The 15,877-nt window shown below is 43.4% G+C and overlaps 1 protein-coding gene and 1 pseudogene across 6 annotated transcripts in view, besides 3 other annotated features; one reads left to right on the top strand and one right to left on the bottom strand.

Annotated features, from left to right (window-relative positions):
• Nucleotides 1–13,489, bottom strand: part of ZNF26 (zinc finger protein 26) — a 40,736-nt gene extending 27,247 nt beyond the window's left edge. For 5 of the 6 annotated variants that reach the window (XR_007063124.1, NM_001256279.2, NM_001330513.2 and 2 more), the window contains exon 1: nt 12,983–13,489. Coding sequence is in view for 3 of the 6 variants with exons in the window: in NM_001256279.2 (NP_001243208.1) it covers nt 12,983–13,015 (33 nt within the window). In the remaining 3 variants the exon portion in view is untranslated. Of the gene's footprint in view, nt 1–12,087; nt 12,192–12,982 lie in introns of all 6 variants that reach the window. The other variant, NM_001330514.2, reaches the window with a different exon arrangement.
• RNU4ATAC12P (RNA, U4atac small nuclear 12, pseudogene) lies at nt 4,554–4,666 on the top strand (annotated as a pseudogene).
• Nucleotides 12,644–13,143: an enhancer, noted in NCBI's record as "H3K27ac hESC enhancer chr12:133563299-133563798 (GRCh37/hg19 assembly coordinates)". NCBI's record gives its function as "activates a minimal SCP1, AML or CMV promoter by ChIP-STARR-seq in primed H9 embryonic stem cells {active_cell/tissue: H9 hESC(primed)}" and the evidence as "EXISTENCE:reporter gene assay evidence [ECO:0000049][PMID:30033119]".
• Nucleotides 12,869–12,918: an enhancer, noted in NCBI's record as "active region_7396". NCBI's record gives its function as "activates an Ori minimal core promoter by ATAC-STARR-seq in GM12878 lymphoblastoid cells {active_cell/tissue: GM12878}" and the evidence as "EXISTENCE:reporter gene assay evidence [ECO:0000049][PMID:35858748]".
• Nucleotides 13,399–13,868: an enhancer, noted in NCBI's record as "active region_7395". NCBI's record gives its function as "activates an Ori minimal core promoter by ATAC-STARR-seq in GM12878 lymphoblastoid cells {active_cell/tissue: GM12878}" and the evidence as "EXISTENCE:reporter gene assay evidence [ECO:0000049][PMID:35858748]".

Here is a 15,877-nt window from a genome sequence, read left to right as displayed (position 1 = left end):
TCTACTAAATACAAAAAAATTAACCGGGCATGGTGACGGGAGGCTGAGGCAGGAGAATCACTTGAACCCAGGAGGTGGAGGTTGTAGTGAGCTGAGATCACAAAATTGCACTCCAGCCTGGGCAACAAGGGCGAGACTCCCCCTCAAAAAAAAATTTTTTTTTCAACACTTTCAAAACTTAGAAGTTAAAGCAAAGTACAAGGAATTTCCTTGACACAATAAAGTGTTTCTTCCTTAAACCTATAGAAAATATTATACTTTGTGTAAACCACTAAAATCATTTTCTTTAAAAACACATGGCGGCTGGGTGCGGTGGCTCACGCCTGTAATCCCAGCACTCTGGGAGGCTGAGGCAGGCAAATAATGAGGTCAAGAGATCGAGACCATCCTGACTAACACAGTGAAACCCCACCTCTACTAAAAACACAAAAAAATCAGCCAGGTGTGGTGGTGGGCGCCTGTATCCCAGCTACTCAGGAGGCTGAGGCAGGAGAATCACTTGAACCCGGGAGGCGGAGGTTGGCAGTGAGCTGAGATCGTGCCACTGCACTCAAGCCTGGGCAACAAAGAGCAAAACTCCATCTCAAACAAACAAACAAACAAAAAAACTAAGAGAATCGGCTGAGATAAAATGAGAACTGGTGGAGATCCACCATCTTGTCTTGCAGCTGCCTGAGACACAGACATGGCTTCTGTTCCACTGACTCTGGAACTGTGTAAACAGCTGTTGGATTCGACAGTCCCTGATAAACAGCTCTCACCTGACTGACAAAGAGCTGCTTGATTTGTGGATGGCAGTTCCAAGGTGAACAAATGACATCCTGTTTGGAAGACTGCTGCTCTGATTAAAGAAGAGTCAAGAATCTTTCTGAGTTATTTATAGCTTAGGGCAATTGGGTAAAGTATGTTTTGTGAGCAAAATTTACCTTTCTCTCTACCTGATTTCTCCAAAATTTGGAAACTATTCATGAGTATTCTGATTTTATGGCAATAGAGTTATTTGCATAAGTTCAGCAAGAATCTGTTTTCTTTTGTAAAAAGGACACAATTGAGAGACTGGTTATTTTATCAAGGCCTCAAATGGAATGGCATATTTTCAGATATAACCAGGCTGCTTTGAGAAATTTAGGTTGGATTTATAGAGCTGATAAAAAGCCCCTTGGAAAGACTCGCCTGGTACCTTGTCCACCTTAAAGATTCCTGATCTGTGGCAAGTAAAGAATGTCACTTTTTAACAGGCTCAGGAACCTCATGGTATTTTGGGATCTCGAGAAGACAGGAATTCATACAGGTGTTACAAGCACAGTCGAGCAGCAAATCCTTGGCTTGGCTTCTGGCCTTCTAAGCTTTTAAAAAGTCGAATCCAAAATTCCTTTAAAAAGTTCCAGCAAGGCCGAGAGCAGTGGCTTATGCCTGTAATCCCAGCACTTTGGGAGGCTGAGGAGGGCAGATCATGAGGTCAGAAGTTTGAGACCAGCCTGACCAACATGGTGAAACCCTATGTCTACTAAAAATACAAAAATTAGCCAGGCGTGCTGGAACACACCTGTAATCCCAGCTACTCAGGAGGCTGAGGCAGGATAATCGCTTGAACCCGGGAGGCGAAGGTTGCAGTGAGCCAAGATCACACCACTGCACTCCAGCCTGGGCGACAGAGCAAGACTCCGTCTCAAAAAGAAAAAAGAAAAAAAAAAAAAAGCTCCAGCAAAGTCAACTTAAAAGAAGCCTACATGGCTGGTCACTATTCTTGCTATTCTTTATGCAAATAACCAGGCCAAGTATAATGAGATCAAAATTTATTTGCAAATAAGTTGGTCCTGCTACGATTTATTCTTGGTAGAAGTAGGGACACCAGAGAGAGAAAATTTTAGATTCTGATTGCTGTTCTGAGTTTTTATTATTTGCCTATAATTTGGGCTAACTGAATTATTTCCTGGCTACAAGAAGTCCCTAAAAAGGAACCAGGTTTTCGTTTTCTTCATGATACTTTTAGTCGGCCCATTAACGGAACAGGTTATTTGCTGGTGTTGTTCTGGCACAATCAAAAGTTCTCTTTCGTTTGTAATCCTTGTGTGCATTCTATTTCTATTATTCAAATTATTGTTATGTATCTCTCATTGTTTTACTTCATCTGAGACAAGCAAAGTCATAGTATTCTGAAGACTAGAAATGATTCAACAACCCTGTGAACCTCCTTAATTTGGAACCCTCCTTGGCCTAATCTGTTTTCCACTGCACTGCTGCTAAAGCTCTGCAATATCAGGCACCCTACCTAACGTTCAGGGGAGGGCGCATAAGATAGAAAAGCTGGACTGGGAGGTGAAGTGTGAAGGCCAAAGCAACTCCATCTTGGAAGCTCATCGACCATGTGGGCTTCTGATTAACCCCTGTTCTGGACTCTATCTTGGAAGCTCATCGACCATGTGGGCTTCTGATTAACCCCTGTTCTGGACTCCATCTTGGAAGCTAATCTACCATGTGGGTTTCTGATTAACCCCTGTTCTGGACTCCATCTTGGAAGCTCATCGACCATGTGGGCTTCTGATTAACCCCTGTTCTGGACTCCATCTTGGAAACTAATCTACCATGTGAGCTTCTGATTAACCCCTGTTCTGGACTCCATCTTGGAAGTTCATCTACCGTGTGGGCTTCTGATTAGCCCCTGTTCTGGGAAGGCCTCTAAGATTTCCAGTTCATCTATTGTTCCTTGTGTCAGACCAGGTACTTACCATAAATCCTACCCTTAGGTCAAACAACCTTGATGTAACTGTACTTCAACTGTCTTACACATCCCTTCTGAACCACCCCTCCCTACGGTCTAGAAGCACTGGGTCTGGGGGTAATGGTGCAGGGATCCACCACCTTGTCTTGCCACTGCATGAGACACAGACATGGCTTCTGTTCTTAAGTCCCTATTAAATGTTTCTTTCTAAGAAAACAAAACAAAACAAAACAAAACAAAAAACCATGAGAACCAGTAAGAAAAGTCAACAGGGTAGCAGTTTTAAACAAAACAATAAGGAATAGCTTTTTGGCACATTAGCAGTCACCAACCAGAAAATATAGTAAGAAAATGCCTATATGATCACAGTAACAAATCTAGAAAGTACTTAGGAATAAAAAGCTTTAAAACGCAGGAAAACCTAACAAAAAATACACATGATAAAATATGTAAGTACAAAGAGATTGAAGCAACATGCCATGTTTATGATGAGTAGACTTACATGGCAAAGATATTAATTTTCCACAAATTAATTTGCACATTTGATAAATTCTCAATGAAAATACCAAGAAAGTTTTTCATTTTATTTCACCTAATAATTCTAACTCTCAATAATGTAAAATAAAATCATATGCTTGGACTACTACTGCTACAACTAGAAAATTCTAAATACTCTTATCTTTTTTAAAACACCAGAGACCTGTGGAAGGAAGGAGGACTAAACAAACTAAAATTGCGAGAGAAAAGAGCTCCTCTTGGGTGAGCTAAAATTGCTGGCTGTTACCTCGCTGGGCCATTTGCTCAGCTTGAGAACAGTGAAGGAAGGGCTCGGCCCAGACAGAGGACTATTCTAGGGGAAAGAGAAACCAGTGAAGGTTTTGATGTGCCCCAGTGGACAGTGAGTTTTCCCCATGGGACATCTGTTGAGTGCTGGTCAGTGCAAGAAGCTGCAGGCTGGGCTGGAATGGCAGACTGAGTCTCCCGCAGCCTCAAGGTGCTCCAGAAACAAAGTACCAGTAGAGAGGAGCCTGCAATAAATATACCATCCAGAAACCCGAAGACACAGGTAACAGAGTACAGCCCCTAAACAGCTCAATTCCTGTTTTGATTGAGGTGATCAGCCATTCCCCTACTGCATGACAGAGAAAAGGGGAAATATCCTCTGATATAAAACAACAGTAAGGTCAGGTATGGTGGCTCACCCCTGTAATCCCAGCACTTTGGGAGGCCAAGGTGGGTGGATCACCTGAGGCCAGGAGTTTGAGACCAGCCTGACCAACATGGTGAAATCCCGTCTCTACTAAATATACAAAAATTATCCAGGCATGGTGGTGGGCAACTGTAATCCCAGCTACTGGGTAGGCTGAGGCAGAAGAATTGCTTGAACCCAGGAGGCGGAGGTTGCAGTGAGCCAAGATCGCGCCACTGCACTCCAGCCTGGGCGACAGAGCAAGACTCTGTCTCAAAAAAAACCACAACAGTAAACTTCAGTCTCTGTGGTTATTCCTTTTAAAACAATGTCAGCAAAAAATTAAAAACTTTGAGACATGAGGCAGGAAAATATGACTGACAAAAGGAATAGGCAGATAATTGATAAAGATGCACAGATGATCCAGATGATGTTAGCAAACAAGTAATATTACAAATAACTATCATAATATATAACTATGTAAATATTTAAAATACAGAGAAGTTGTATACAGTGAATAAAAGGAGAACTGGAATTAAAAAAAAAAAAAAACAAGGAGACATTTAGAAACAAACAACTGATCCCTGAAATGAGCATCAACGGGACAATGGCCAATACAAGTCTGTTAAGGATGTGGAGCAAACCATCCTTCTCGTGGGGTTGTGTTACTGTCCAGTGAGCGCATGGTGAGGGCAATACTGCTAACGCCTACACAACACACCCACATCAACTATGGTGGTGCAATTTTTTGAAAAGTGGAAAACCTCTTTTCCATGAAAATAAAAAGGGATATAGAGCAAATGCAGTTCTCAATTCCTGGTACTGGGAATGTGAAGTCATTTCGCCACTTTGGAAAACTAAGAGTATGTACTAAATTTAAATATACGTATACAATGACTCAACAGTATCATTCGTAAGTATGTGCCCAGTGGTTCTCAATGGGCAGGAGGGAGATTTTGCCCCCCCGGGGGCATTTGACAATGTCTGGAGCCCTTTATGGTTGTCATAGTGGGGCAGTGCTACTGGCACCTACATAAGTCGGGGCCAGGAATGCTGCTCAGCAACCCACGATGCACAGGACGTTCCTCCACAACAAAGAATTATTCCATCCAAAATGTCAATAGTGCTGAGGTTGAAAAATCCTGGTATGTGCCTAACAGAAATGATAGTTGATGTCTACCAAAACAAATGTACAAAAAGGTTCAAAGTCGTGTTATCTAAAATAACCAGTAACTGAAAACAACCTAAACACTGATGTTGATAACAGATTATTACAACAGACAAATTATGAAATGTTCATACAACAGAATATCATACAACTTCACAAAAATAAGCCAACACAAACATTTTAAGGATATAAACATATGCATTAAAAATGTACAGGGAAAGACCTAGAAGAATATCTATCAAACTGATTACCTCCGAGGAGAGAGAGGGGATTGGGATGGGTGGGTGGTTATAAGAGACTGAATTGTGTTCTAAGAGAATCAACTGTATCATCAAAAATTAATAGTTCCAGTTCTGCATGTAAAGAGTTTGGAAGTAGCCACTCTGTCCTAACAAGTAAAAAGTTTAACAAACTGAAAAATCAACAACTCTTCTTAGATCTGAAAGAGAAGTGAAGATACAAGGCAAACAAACCACTGTCCCCAAAATTAGAGACAGGCAGAAACACAGTAGTTACCAGATCACAAATCTCTGTGAGAAAGCGTCAGGACAGAAATACCTGAACTGCAACTGACAAATTGCTAGAGGCTAGGTGTGTACATGTTTGAAGTTAAAAAGTCCAGGGGGACCCAGTCATGGTGGGAGTGGAGGGAGACAAAGTCCCAAGCTTTTCTGAGTTTTACTTTCAGGAGCTCAACCAGGTTCCCAGAGCCTAATATATTGGGGTTTTGTCAGAGCTTAACTAACCTGAGGGAAGAGAGATATACCAAATTCCACCCTGTCCCATCTAAGAGATGGGGTGGGGGTGGCCTGGGAAATACTTGTGAGGTTGAGAGTCCAGGAGAACAGGCTCACAAAGAGACAGACCTAATCAGGGGCCTACAGAATGCTCACCCTTTCCTGACATCTCATCACCACATTAGTAAAGTACTATTAAAAGTAATTCCTTTTACTCAGTACATCATGTCTAGCTATGAATGTAAAGGGACAAGGCAATACTAAAAGGCAAAAAAACATAGGGCAACCACGCGCCGTGGCTCACGCCTGTAATCCCAGCACTCTGGGAGGCCGAGGGGGGTAGATCACCTGAGGTCAGGAATTCGAGATCAGCCTGGCCAGTATGGTGAAACCCCGTCTCTACTAAAAATACAAAAATCAGCCGGGCATGGTGGAGTGCACCTGTAGTCCCAGCTACTCGGGAGGCTGAGGCAGAAGAATCACTTGAACCCAACAGGCGGAGGTTGTAGTGAGCCAAGATCACACCACTGCACTCCAGCCTGGACTCCATCTCAAAAAAAAAAATAAAAACAAAAACAAAAACACAGACAGGGCAAGCATCAGAACCAGACATGATAGGGATGTTGAAGGTATCAGACAAAACTTAAAACAACCATGAATAATATGTTATGGGCTCTAGTGAATAAAGTAGGCAGCATGTAAGAACAGATGGGCAGGCCAGGCGTAGTGGCTCACACCTGTAATCCCAGCACTTTGAGAGGCTGAGGTGGGTAGATCACTTGAGGTCAGAAGTTCGAAACCAGCCTAACCAACATACTGAAACTCTGTCTCTACTAAAAATACAAAAATTAGCTAGGCACGGTGGTGCGCACCTGTAGTCCCAGCTACTCAGGAGGCTGAGGCACAAGAATGGCTTGAACCTGAGAGGTAGAGGCTGCAGTGAGCCCAGATCGCACCACTGCACTCCAGCCTGGGCAAGAAAGTGAGACTCCATCTCAAAAAAAAAAAAAAAGAAATACTAGTGATCAAAAACACTGTACAGAAGTGAAGAATGCCTTTGATGGGCTTATGTATTATGTAGACTGCACGAGATTGAGGAAAAAAATCTTTGAACTTAAGGATGTATCAACAGAAACCTTCAAGCAAAGAGAACACTGGGGAAAAAAAAAAAGAACAGAATATCCAAGATGGACAGCCACAAAAGGTGTAGATATGCACAATGGAAATACCCGAAGGAAAGGAAAAGAACAGAAGAAAGACAGTCGGTGCCTGACGCACAGTGGTTTGACTTAGTATTTTTCAATTTTACAATGGCGCAGAAGCAATACACTTCAGTACGTTCCCCAACTTATGATGAGGCTCCATCTGGATAAACCTATTATAAGTTGAACATATTGTAAGTCGAAAATGCACTTCTGACAAAGAGATTTTCAATTTATGATGAGTTTATCAGGATGTAACCACATCATCAAGTCAAGGAGCATCTATATATGAAACAATAATTACTGAAAATTTCGCTGAAGTAATGTCAGACACCAAATCACAGATGGAGGAAAATCCGAGAATACCAAGAAGATAAATGCCAAAAAACCTGCACGTAGGCATATCATTTTTAAAACACAAAAAATCAAAGATAAGCCAGAGATGAAAAAAAATACCTTACCTACAGAAACCACACAAGCAAGAAAATGGAGTGAAACAGTTAAGGTGTTTAGAGAAAAAAAAATCATCAAAACAGAATTCTGTACCCTGCAAAATTATCCTTCAAAAGTAAAAAAAAGTCTTTCTCAAACAAAAACTAAGATAATTTATTGCTATTTCAAGTAAACTTGCCTTAACTAGGCAGAAAAGGAAAATACAGGTCAGAAACACAGATACACTTTTTTTTTTTTGAGATAGGGTCTTACCCTGTTGCCCAGGCTGGAGTGCAGTGGCATGATCTTGGCTCACTGCAACCCCCGCCTCCTGGGTTCAAGCGATTCTCATACCTCAGCCTCCCAAGTAGCCAGGCCTACAGGCACGCACCACCATGCCCAGCTAATTTTTGTATTTGTAGTAGAGACAGGGTTTCACCATGTTGGCCAGGCTGGTCTCGAACTCCTGACCTCAAATGACCCGCCGGCCTCAGCCTCCCAGAGTGCTGGGATTACAGGGATGAGCCGCCAGGCCCGGCCACAGATATATATTTTAAAAAGTGAGAACATCAAAGAAAGAATAAGTGAAAGTAAAATTAAAATTTTTTTTCTGATCATTTTTTTGAGACGGTCTCGCTCTGTTGCCTAAGCTGGAGTACAGTGGCACAGCAGCCTCGAACTCCTGGGCTCACCTCACCATCTCACCTCCCAAGTAGCTGGGGCTACAGGTGCACACTAGCACACCTGGTTTTTTTTTTAGGTTTTTTTTTTTTTTGTTGTTGTTGTTGTTTTGTATAGGCAAGGTCTCTGCGTTGCCCAGGCTGGTCTCAAACTCCTGGCTTCAGTCTCCCAAAGTGCTGGGATTACAGGCATCAGCCACCATGCCTAGCTATTTTTATTTTGTTGTTGTTGTTGAGTCTCGCTCTGTCGCCCGGGCTGGAGTGCAGTGGCACGATCTTGGCTTACTGCAACCTCTGCTTCCTGAGTTCAAGCGATTCTCCTGCCTCAGCCTCCTGAGCAGCTGGGATTACAGGTGTGTGCCACCATGCCCGGCGCTAACTTTTGTATTTTTAGTAGTGACAGGGTTTCACCATGTTGATCAGGCTGGTCTTGAACATCTGACCTCGTGATTCACCCGCCTCGGCCTCCCAAAGTGCTGGGATTACAGGCCTGAGCCACCACGCCCAGCCATGCCTAGCTATTTTTCTTATACTTAGTTGACCTAGTCTGTTCAAAATAGTAATGGAGGCTGGGCACAGTGGCTCATGCCTGTAATCCCAGCACTTTGGGAGGCTGAGGTGGGTGGATCACTTGAGGTCAGGAGTTCGAGACCAGCCTGGCCAACATAGTGAAACCCTGTCTCTACTAAAAACGCAAAAATTAGCCGGGCATGGTGGCACACACCTGTACTTCCAGCTACTCGGGAGGCTGAGGCAGGAGAATCGCTTGAACCTGGGAGGCAGAGGTTGCAGTGAGCCATGATCATGCCACTGCACTCCAGCCTGGGTGACAGAGTGAGACTCTATCAAAAAAATAAAAAGAAAAAAGGACAATAAAGGAACATCATACTATGTACAATTCTACGTCCACACATTTCATGACCTAGATGAAACAGACCAAATCCCTGAAAGACACAATCTGCCAAAACTGAACAAAAAGAAACAGACACTCTAATAAGCCTAAATTGAATCAAAAATTAAGAATCACCCAAACCAGAAAGTGCCAGGCCAAGATGGGTTCACTCACTGGTGAAGTCTACCAAACATTTAAGGAAAAAAATCACACCAATCTTTTTTTCCCTCTACAATATTTTTCAGAAGATAAAGGCAGAGGGAATCCTAACTCAGTCTATAAAGACAGCATCGCTCTAATACCAAAACCAGACAGAAACCCTAGAAAACTACAGAAAAATTATCTCATAAATATAGATACAAAAATCCTCAACAAAATACTAGAAAATAAAATACAACAATGTATAAAAACAAGTGTACACCACAGCCAAGTGGGATTTATTCCTGGTATGTAAGGTTGGTTCAATACTTGAATCAGTTCCATCGTATCAAATGACTAAAGAAGAAAAAGCATAGATAGATGCAGAAAAAACTTTTTTTCTTTTTTGAGACAGGGTCTCGCTCTGTCACCCAGGCTGGAGTGCAGTGGTGCAAACATGGCTCACAGCAGCCTCAACCTCCCAGGCTCAAGCAATCCTTCCACTTCAGCCTCCTCAGTAGCTGAGACTACAGGCATGTGTCACCACGCCCAGCTATTTTGTTTTTTAATTTTTTGTAGAGATGGGGTCTCACTATGTTGCCCAGGCTGGTCCTGAATTCCTAGGCTAAAGCTATCCTCCTGCCTCAGCCTCCCAAAGTGATTACAGGTGTGAGCCACATCTGGCCCAGAAAAAAAATCTGACAAAATCCAACCCCATTCACAATTAACAACAACAAAAACCCTCACTAAACTAGGAACAAGGGTCTTTCTCAACTTGATAGAGAATATCTACCAAGAAAAATGCTACAACTAACATCATACTTAACTGTGAGAAACTTGAAGCTTTCCCACTAAGATCAACAAGGCAAAATGTATCTTTAATCCCCTCTCACCACTCTTTTTCAACATTGTACTGGAAGTCCTATCTGAGGCAAAAAAACAAGAACAGAAAATACAGGATGAGAATCCCTGTTCCAAAAACCTGAAATCTAAATGCTCCAAAATTCAAAACGTTTTGAGTCCTCACACGTGGAAAATCCCACACATTAACTTAATACAACCTTTGTTTCACACACAAAATTATTTAAAATACTGTATAAAATTACCTTCAGGCTGTACGTATAAAGTATATATGAAACATAAACAAATTCTGTGTTTAGACTTGGGTCCCATCCCCAAGATATCTTATGTATATGTAAATAGTCCAAGATCTGAAAAAATCCAAAATCCAAAACAATTCTGGTCTTAAGCATTTTGAATAAAAGATACTTAACCTGTAAAATGTATAATGACTGTGAAGGAAGGAATAAAACTTTGTTCACAGATGGCATAATTGTGCAAAGTCCAAAAGAATTCACCAGACCCGGCACGGTGGCTCATGGCTGTAATCCTAGCACTTTAGGAGGCCGAGGTGGGCTGATCACGAGGTCAGGAGATCGAGACCATCCTGCTAACACAGTGAAACTCCATTTCTACTAAAAATACAAAAAAATTAGATGGGCGTGGTGGCACATGCCTGTAGTACCAGCTACTCAGGAGGCTCAGGCAGGAGAATCGCTTGAACCCAGGAGGTGGAGGTTGCAGTGAGCCGAGATTGTGCCACTGCACTCCAGCCTGGCCAACAGCGAGACTCTGTCTCAAAAAAAAAAAAAAAAAAAAAAAAAAAATTCACCGAAAGACTCCTGGAACTACATGATTATACCAAGGTTGCAGGATACAAAGTTAATATACAAAAGTCAACCCCTTTCCTGTACACAGGTGTAAGCTGAATTTGAAATAAAAAACACAATACCATTTACAGTAGCACCCACAAAAATTAAATACTTAGGTGTAAGTCTAACAAAATATATAATGATACTATATAAAATCTATATGAGAAAAACTACCAAACACTGCTGAATGAAAACTAAGAACTAGATAGAGAGATATAACATGTTCATGGATAGGAAGACTCAATATTCAAGACTTCAGCTCTTCCCAACTTGATCTACAGATTGAATGCACTGTCAGTTAAAATCCCAGCAAGTTATTTTGCAGATGTTGACAAACTGATTATAAAGTTCAGACAGACAAAAGACTTAGATTAGCTAACAGGATACGGAAGCAGAAGAATACATTTGGGAGAATGAACCTGACTTCAAGACTTATAGGCTGGGCATGGTGGCTCACACCTGTTATCCCACCAATGCTTTGGGAGGCCAAGGAGGAAGAAGTGCTTGAGGCCAAGAGTTGCAGGCCAGCCAGGGCAACACAGTGAGACCCTATCTGTACAAAAAAAAAAAAAAATTTTTAATTAGCCTGATGTGGTGGCATATGCCTGTAATCCCAGCTACTCAGGAGGCTGAGGTGGAGGATCCCTTGAGCCCGGGAGTTCGAGGCTGCAGTGAGTTGTGACTGTTCCACTGCACTCCAACCTGGGCAACAGAGTGAGATCCTGCCTTGAAAAAAAAACAAAAGATTTACTATAAAGACCAGCCTGGGCAACATGGCTAAACTCCATCGCTACAAAATATACAAAAATTACCCGGACTGGGTGGCATGTGCCTGTAATCCCAGCTACTCGGGAGGCTGAGGCTCAAGAATCGCTCGAACCCGGGAGGCAGAGGTTGCAGTGAGCCGAGATCGCGCCACTGCACTCCAGCCTGGGCGACAGAGCGAGACTCCGTCTCAAAAAAATAAAAAAAGACTTATTACAAAGCTACAAAAATCAAGACAGTGTGGCAGTGTGGTATTAGTGAAACAACAAATAGATCAATAGAACTCAATAAAGAGCCCAGAAATAGACCCATATAAATATAGTCAACTGATCTCTGACAAAGGAACAAACTCACAGGGGGAGAAATCCACTCCTAACTTTCTCTCGTTTCTTTAGCACAACAGCCTTTCTCCACCGTGTGTCCTTTCCTTTCATTAACCTGAGTCCTCACCTCGGTCCTCTTGAGGGTTCCAGTTGGTCACACTCTGAGCTTCCACGAATACAATAAGGTGTCTTTATGTATTTCCAGTTTAGACCTCCCATGTGAGTTACAGGCTGAAATACAGGCATTGGATATTCAACACCTGCGAAAGTCATTCCCAGGGTCCCTCTTCCAATAGCATTCCTAGTCTCCGGCTGTATAGCTCAATGGTAGAGCACCACATCCGGCAACGTCGTCAACACCACTCACCGAGGGCAAAGGATTTGGCAATCAAATCACTTGTAAAGACTCCCCTCTGGTTCACTCCATCAATAATTCATAAAGTCCCGATGATCCACTGGCCCGCCCCTTACCTTTCGGACTCTCGAGCTCCGCTCCTAGCCTTTTCTCCCTATTCATTCACCTGTAATTGCGTCCATAGTTCACTAGACTACCCTCTCCACCAAACCAAAGCTCCTCTAAAATTAGGAACATACATAATTTATCTCTGCATTGCCAGCACCAGCCTTAGAGTCCAGCAGACAAAAGGACACTCCATAAACAAGCATTTGGCCAAACGAAAAAGGAGGAACTGATCATTTCTCCAGCTAAGTTCTAAGGGTCTCCATAAGACAACTTTGTGTAGAAAACATGAAATGATGGAGGATCCTCAGACTTCAGGGCCCGCAGCTGGCCATGAAGTGCAGTATAACTGCCCGTCACAGAATACCACAGGCACGTTTCTGCAGGGCCAGAGCTTGGGCGAGCTTCAGAGGCGCTTTGGTTTGGTGGGGAGGGTAGTCTAGTAAACTACGCACACAATTACAGCTGAATGTGAGTTCAGTTCCCGGAGTAACCCTGAAGAGATTAACGTGGCCACCCTCAGTATCCAGTCGAATTTTAAACACGGAAAGTCTCTACTTACCCAGCACGAAGCTGTCCGGAAACTGGTGGCCATCCCCACGCCCACGTTCGCGCGCTGCCTGCGGGGGCAGGACCCGCGGGCTGCGGAGAGACCGTGAGGGATGCGTCCGCCCGAAGACAGGTGCGGGACCAGGGCCCCAGGCTCCTGACCGTCCCGGGGCCGAGTCGTTGGCAGGGACGCCGGCTCCTCAGCTCTCGCCCAACACAGACCGCGCGTGACTAGACAACCTCCCGGTCTGGGTACCAGGAGTCGCACGGATGGATTTGTGCCTTTCCGTGGCCCTGACTCGGGAGAGCAGGAGGCTGATCTGGCCCCGTCCACGCCCCGGACCGACGGAAGTGTTTAGCTGGTCAAGTCTCTGGTCTGCCCAGGATAATCCGAGCCGCTTAGCTCCGCGCCTCCGCGGCCACAGAGACTCAGCCAGGTACACCCGCTGGCCAGATTCCGGTCCACTGAGTCTAAGCCGGAAACAGCCCTGCACGCGCGCACCCGACTAAGGCCGGGAGTGCGGCGCATGCGGAAGTGCGTCCTGCGTCGATGCGCCAGGACGCGAAGGCGCCGGAAAAACTACATCTCCCACAATCCTCGGAGAAGGCTCCCTCGTTACAGGCCTGGCTTCCAGCTGCCGCGGATCTAGAGAGGGGCACAGCCTGACGGGAAAGGAAGGCTGGGAGGGGGCTCCGCCAGCGGCACCTGGTTCACCCTCCCACGGCTGCGCCAGGTTCAGTACCATCCTCGGAGCCTGGACGCCCAGTTTCCCAGGGCCTGTAGAACTGACTCAGAGTCCGACCCCAGCAGAGACGCAGGCGTGCTGAGGTTTTGATATCAAACAAGATAGGGTTCAGACCAGAAGGCACAGCAAAAAAGGACGCTTTGTAAAGCTAAAAGCTGCAGTTCATAGGGTTAAATAACAGTTTTGAATATCAGTGCACCAAATAATACAGTAACCAACTTCATAAAGGAGAAACTATAGTAGATGTGAAAAACAAATAAATAGAACCACACCAGTAATGAAACTGCCTTTGCAAAAATTATATCAGTGAGAAAATTATAGCAGTGGGGGAGGTCTAATCTAACCAAACCCCCAACTCTGCGCGCCTTTGGCTGTCAAGATGCCTTCATTATTCCTGGGCTTAGGCCAAGCTAACTTTGGAAGACATTTAGGTTATAGTTCAAATGATAGCCCTTTTCCAAAACCCAACTGCCTTTGTAAAACCTATGAGAGACCACCAAGCTAGCGGGAGGAGAGGAGCCTGAATTCTGCTAAGATGTGGATTGGTCACAAGACACGCAACTTCCCCAGTTACTCCTACAGATAACACCACTATTGTAGATTGGCCTTTTGAGATTTAAAAATGTGCAAAATGGCCAGGCACGATGGCTCACGTCTGTAATCCCAGCATTTTGGAGGGCTGAGGTGGGTGGATCGCATGAGCCCAGGAGTTGGAGACTAGCCTGGGCAACATGGTGAAACCTCGTCTCTACAAAACATATCAAAAGTAAGCCGGATGTGGTGGCATGCATCTGTAGTCTCAGCTACTTGGGGGGCTAAGGCAGCAGAATTGCTTGAGCCCGTGAGGTGGAGGTTGCAGTGAGCCGAGATTGCACCATTGCACTCCAGCCTCGATGACAGGAGTGAAACCCTGTCTCAAAAAAAAAAAAAAAAAAAAAGTGCCAAACATCTGAATAGACATTTCTCAAAAGAAGACATACAAATGGCAAACAGGTATATGAAAAGGTACACAATATAATTGATCATCAGAGAAATGCAAATCAAAACTACAACGAGATATTATCTCACCCCAGTTAAAATGGCTTTTATCCAAAAGACAAGCAATAATAAATGCTGGTGAGGATATGGGGAAAAGGGAACCCTGGTACATTCTTGGTGGGAATGTAAATTAGTACAACCACTATGGAGAACAGTTTGGAGGTTCCTCAAAAAAATAAAAATAGAGCTACCATACAATGCAGCTATCCCACTCCTAGGTATATACCCGAAAGAAAGAAAATCAGTATATCCAAGAGCTGTCTGCACTCCCTTGTTGACTGCAGCACTATTCACAATAGCCAAGATTTGGAAGTAACCGAAGTGTCAATCAACAGGTTAATGAATAAAGAAAATGTGGTACATATACACAATGGAGTACTAGGAAGCCATAAAAAAGAATGAGATCCTGTCATTTGCAACAACATGGATGGAACTGGAGATCATTATATTAAGTGAAATAAGCGAGGCAGAGAAGACAAACTTCACATATTCTCACTTATTTGTGAGAGCCAAAAATTAAAACAATTGAACTCATGGTGATAGAGAGTAGAAAGATGGTTACCAGCAGCTGGGAGGGTAGTGGGACACTGTGGGGGATGGAAATAGTCATTTGGCAGAAAAAATAGTTAGAATAAGACCTAGTATTTTCTAGCACAACAGGATATACTCAAAAATAATTTAATTGTACATTTTAACATAACTAAAAGTATAATTGGATTGCTTGTAACACAAAGGATAAATGCTTAAGGGTACCCCATTTTCCCTGATGTGATTTTTATGCATTGCATAATAATCATTGCATTATAATATGCATTCTATATCAAAATATCTCATGTAATCCATAAATGTATACACCTACTATGTACTCATAATAATTAAAAATTAAAAAAATTAGCCAGGTGTGGTGGCATACACCTGTAATCCCAGCTACTTGGGAGGCTGAGGCAGGAGAAATGCTTGATCCTGAGAGGTTGAGGCTGCAGTGAGCCATGATCCCACCACTGCGTTCCAGTCTGGGCAACACAATGAGACCCTGTCTCAAAAAAAGAAATTAATTAATTAAAAATTTTCCCACAGAGAAAATCTGGGAATGGATGGCTCCACTAGTGAGTTCCATCAAATAC

This window comes from Homo sapiens, chromosome 12 (assembly GCF_000001405.40).
Source record: "Homo sapiens chromosome 12, GRCh38.p14 Primary Assembly".
NCBI classification, from domain to species: domain Eukaryota; kingdom Metazoa; phylum Chordata; class Mammalia; order Primates; family Hominidae; genus Homo; species Homo sapiens.
The sequence above is the reverse complement of the archived record's forward strand: the minus strand, read 5'-3'. Positions and strand labels throughout refer to the sequence as shown.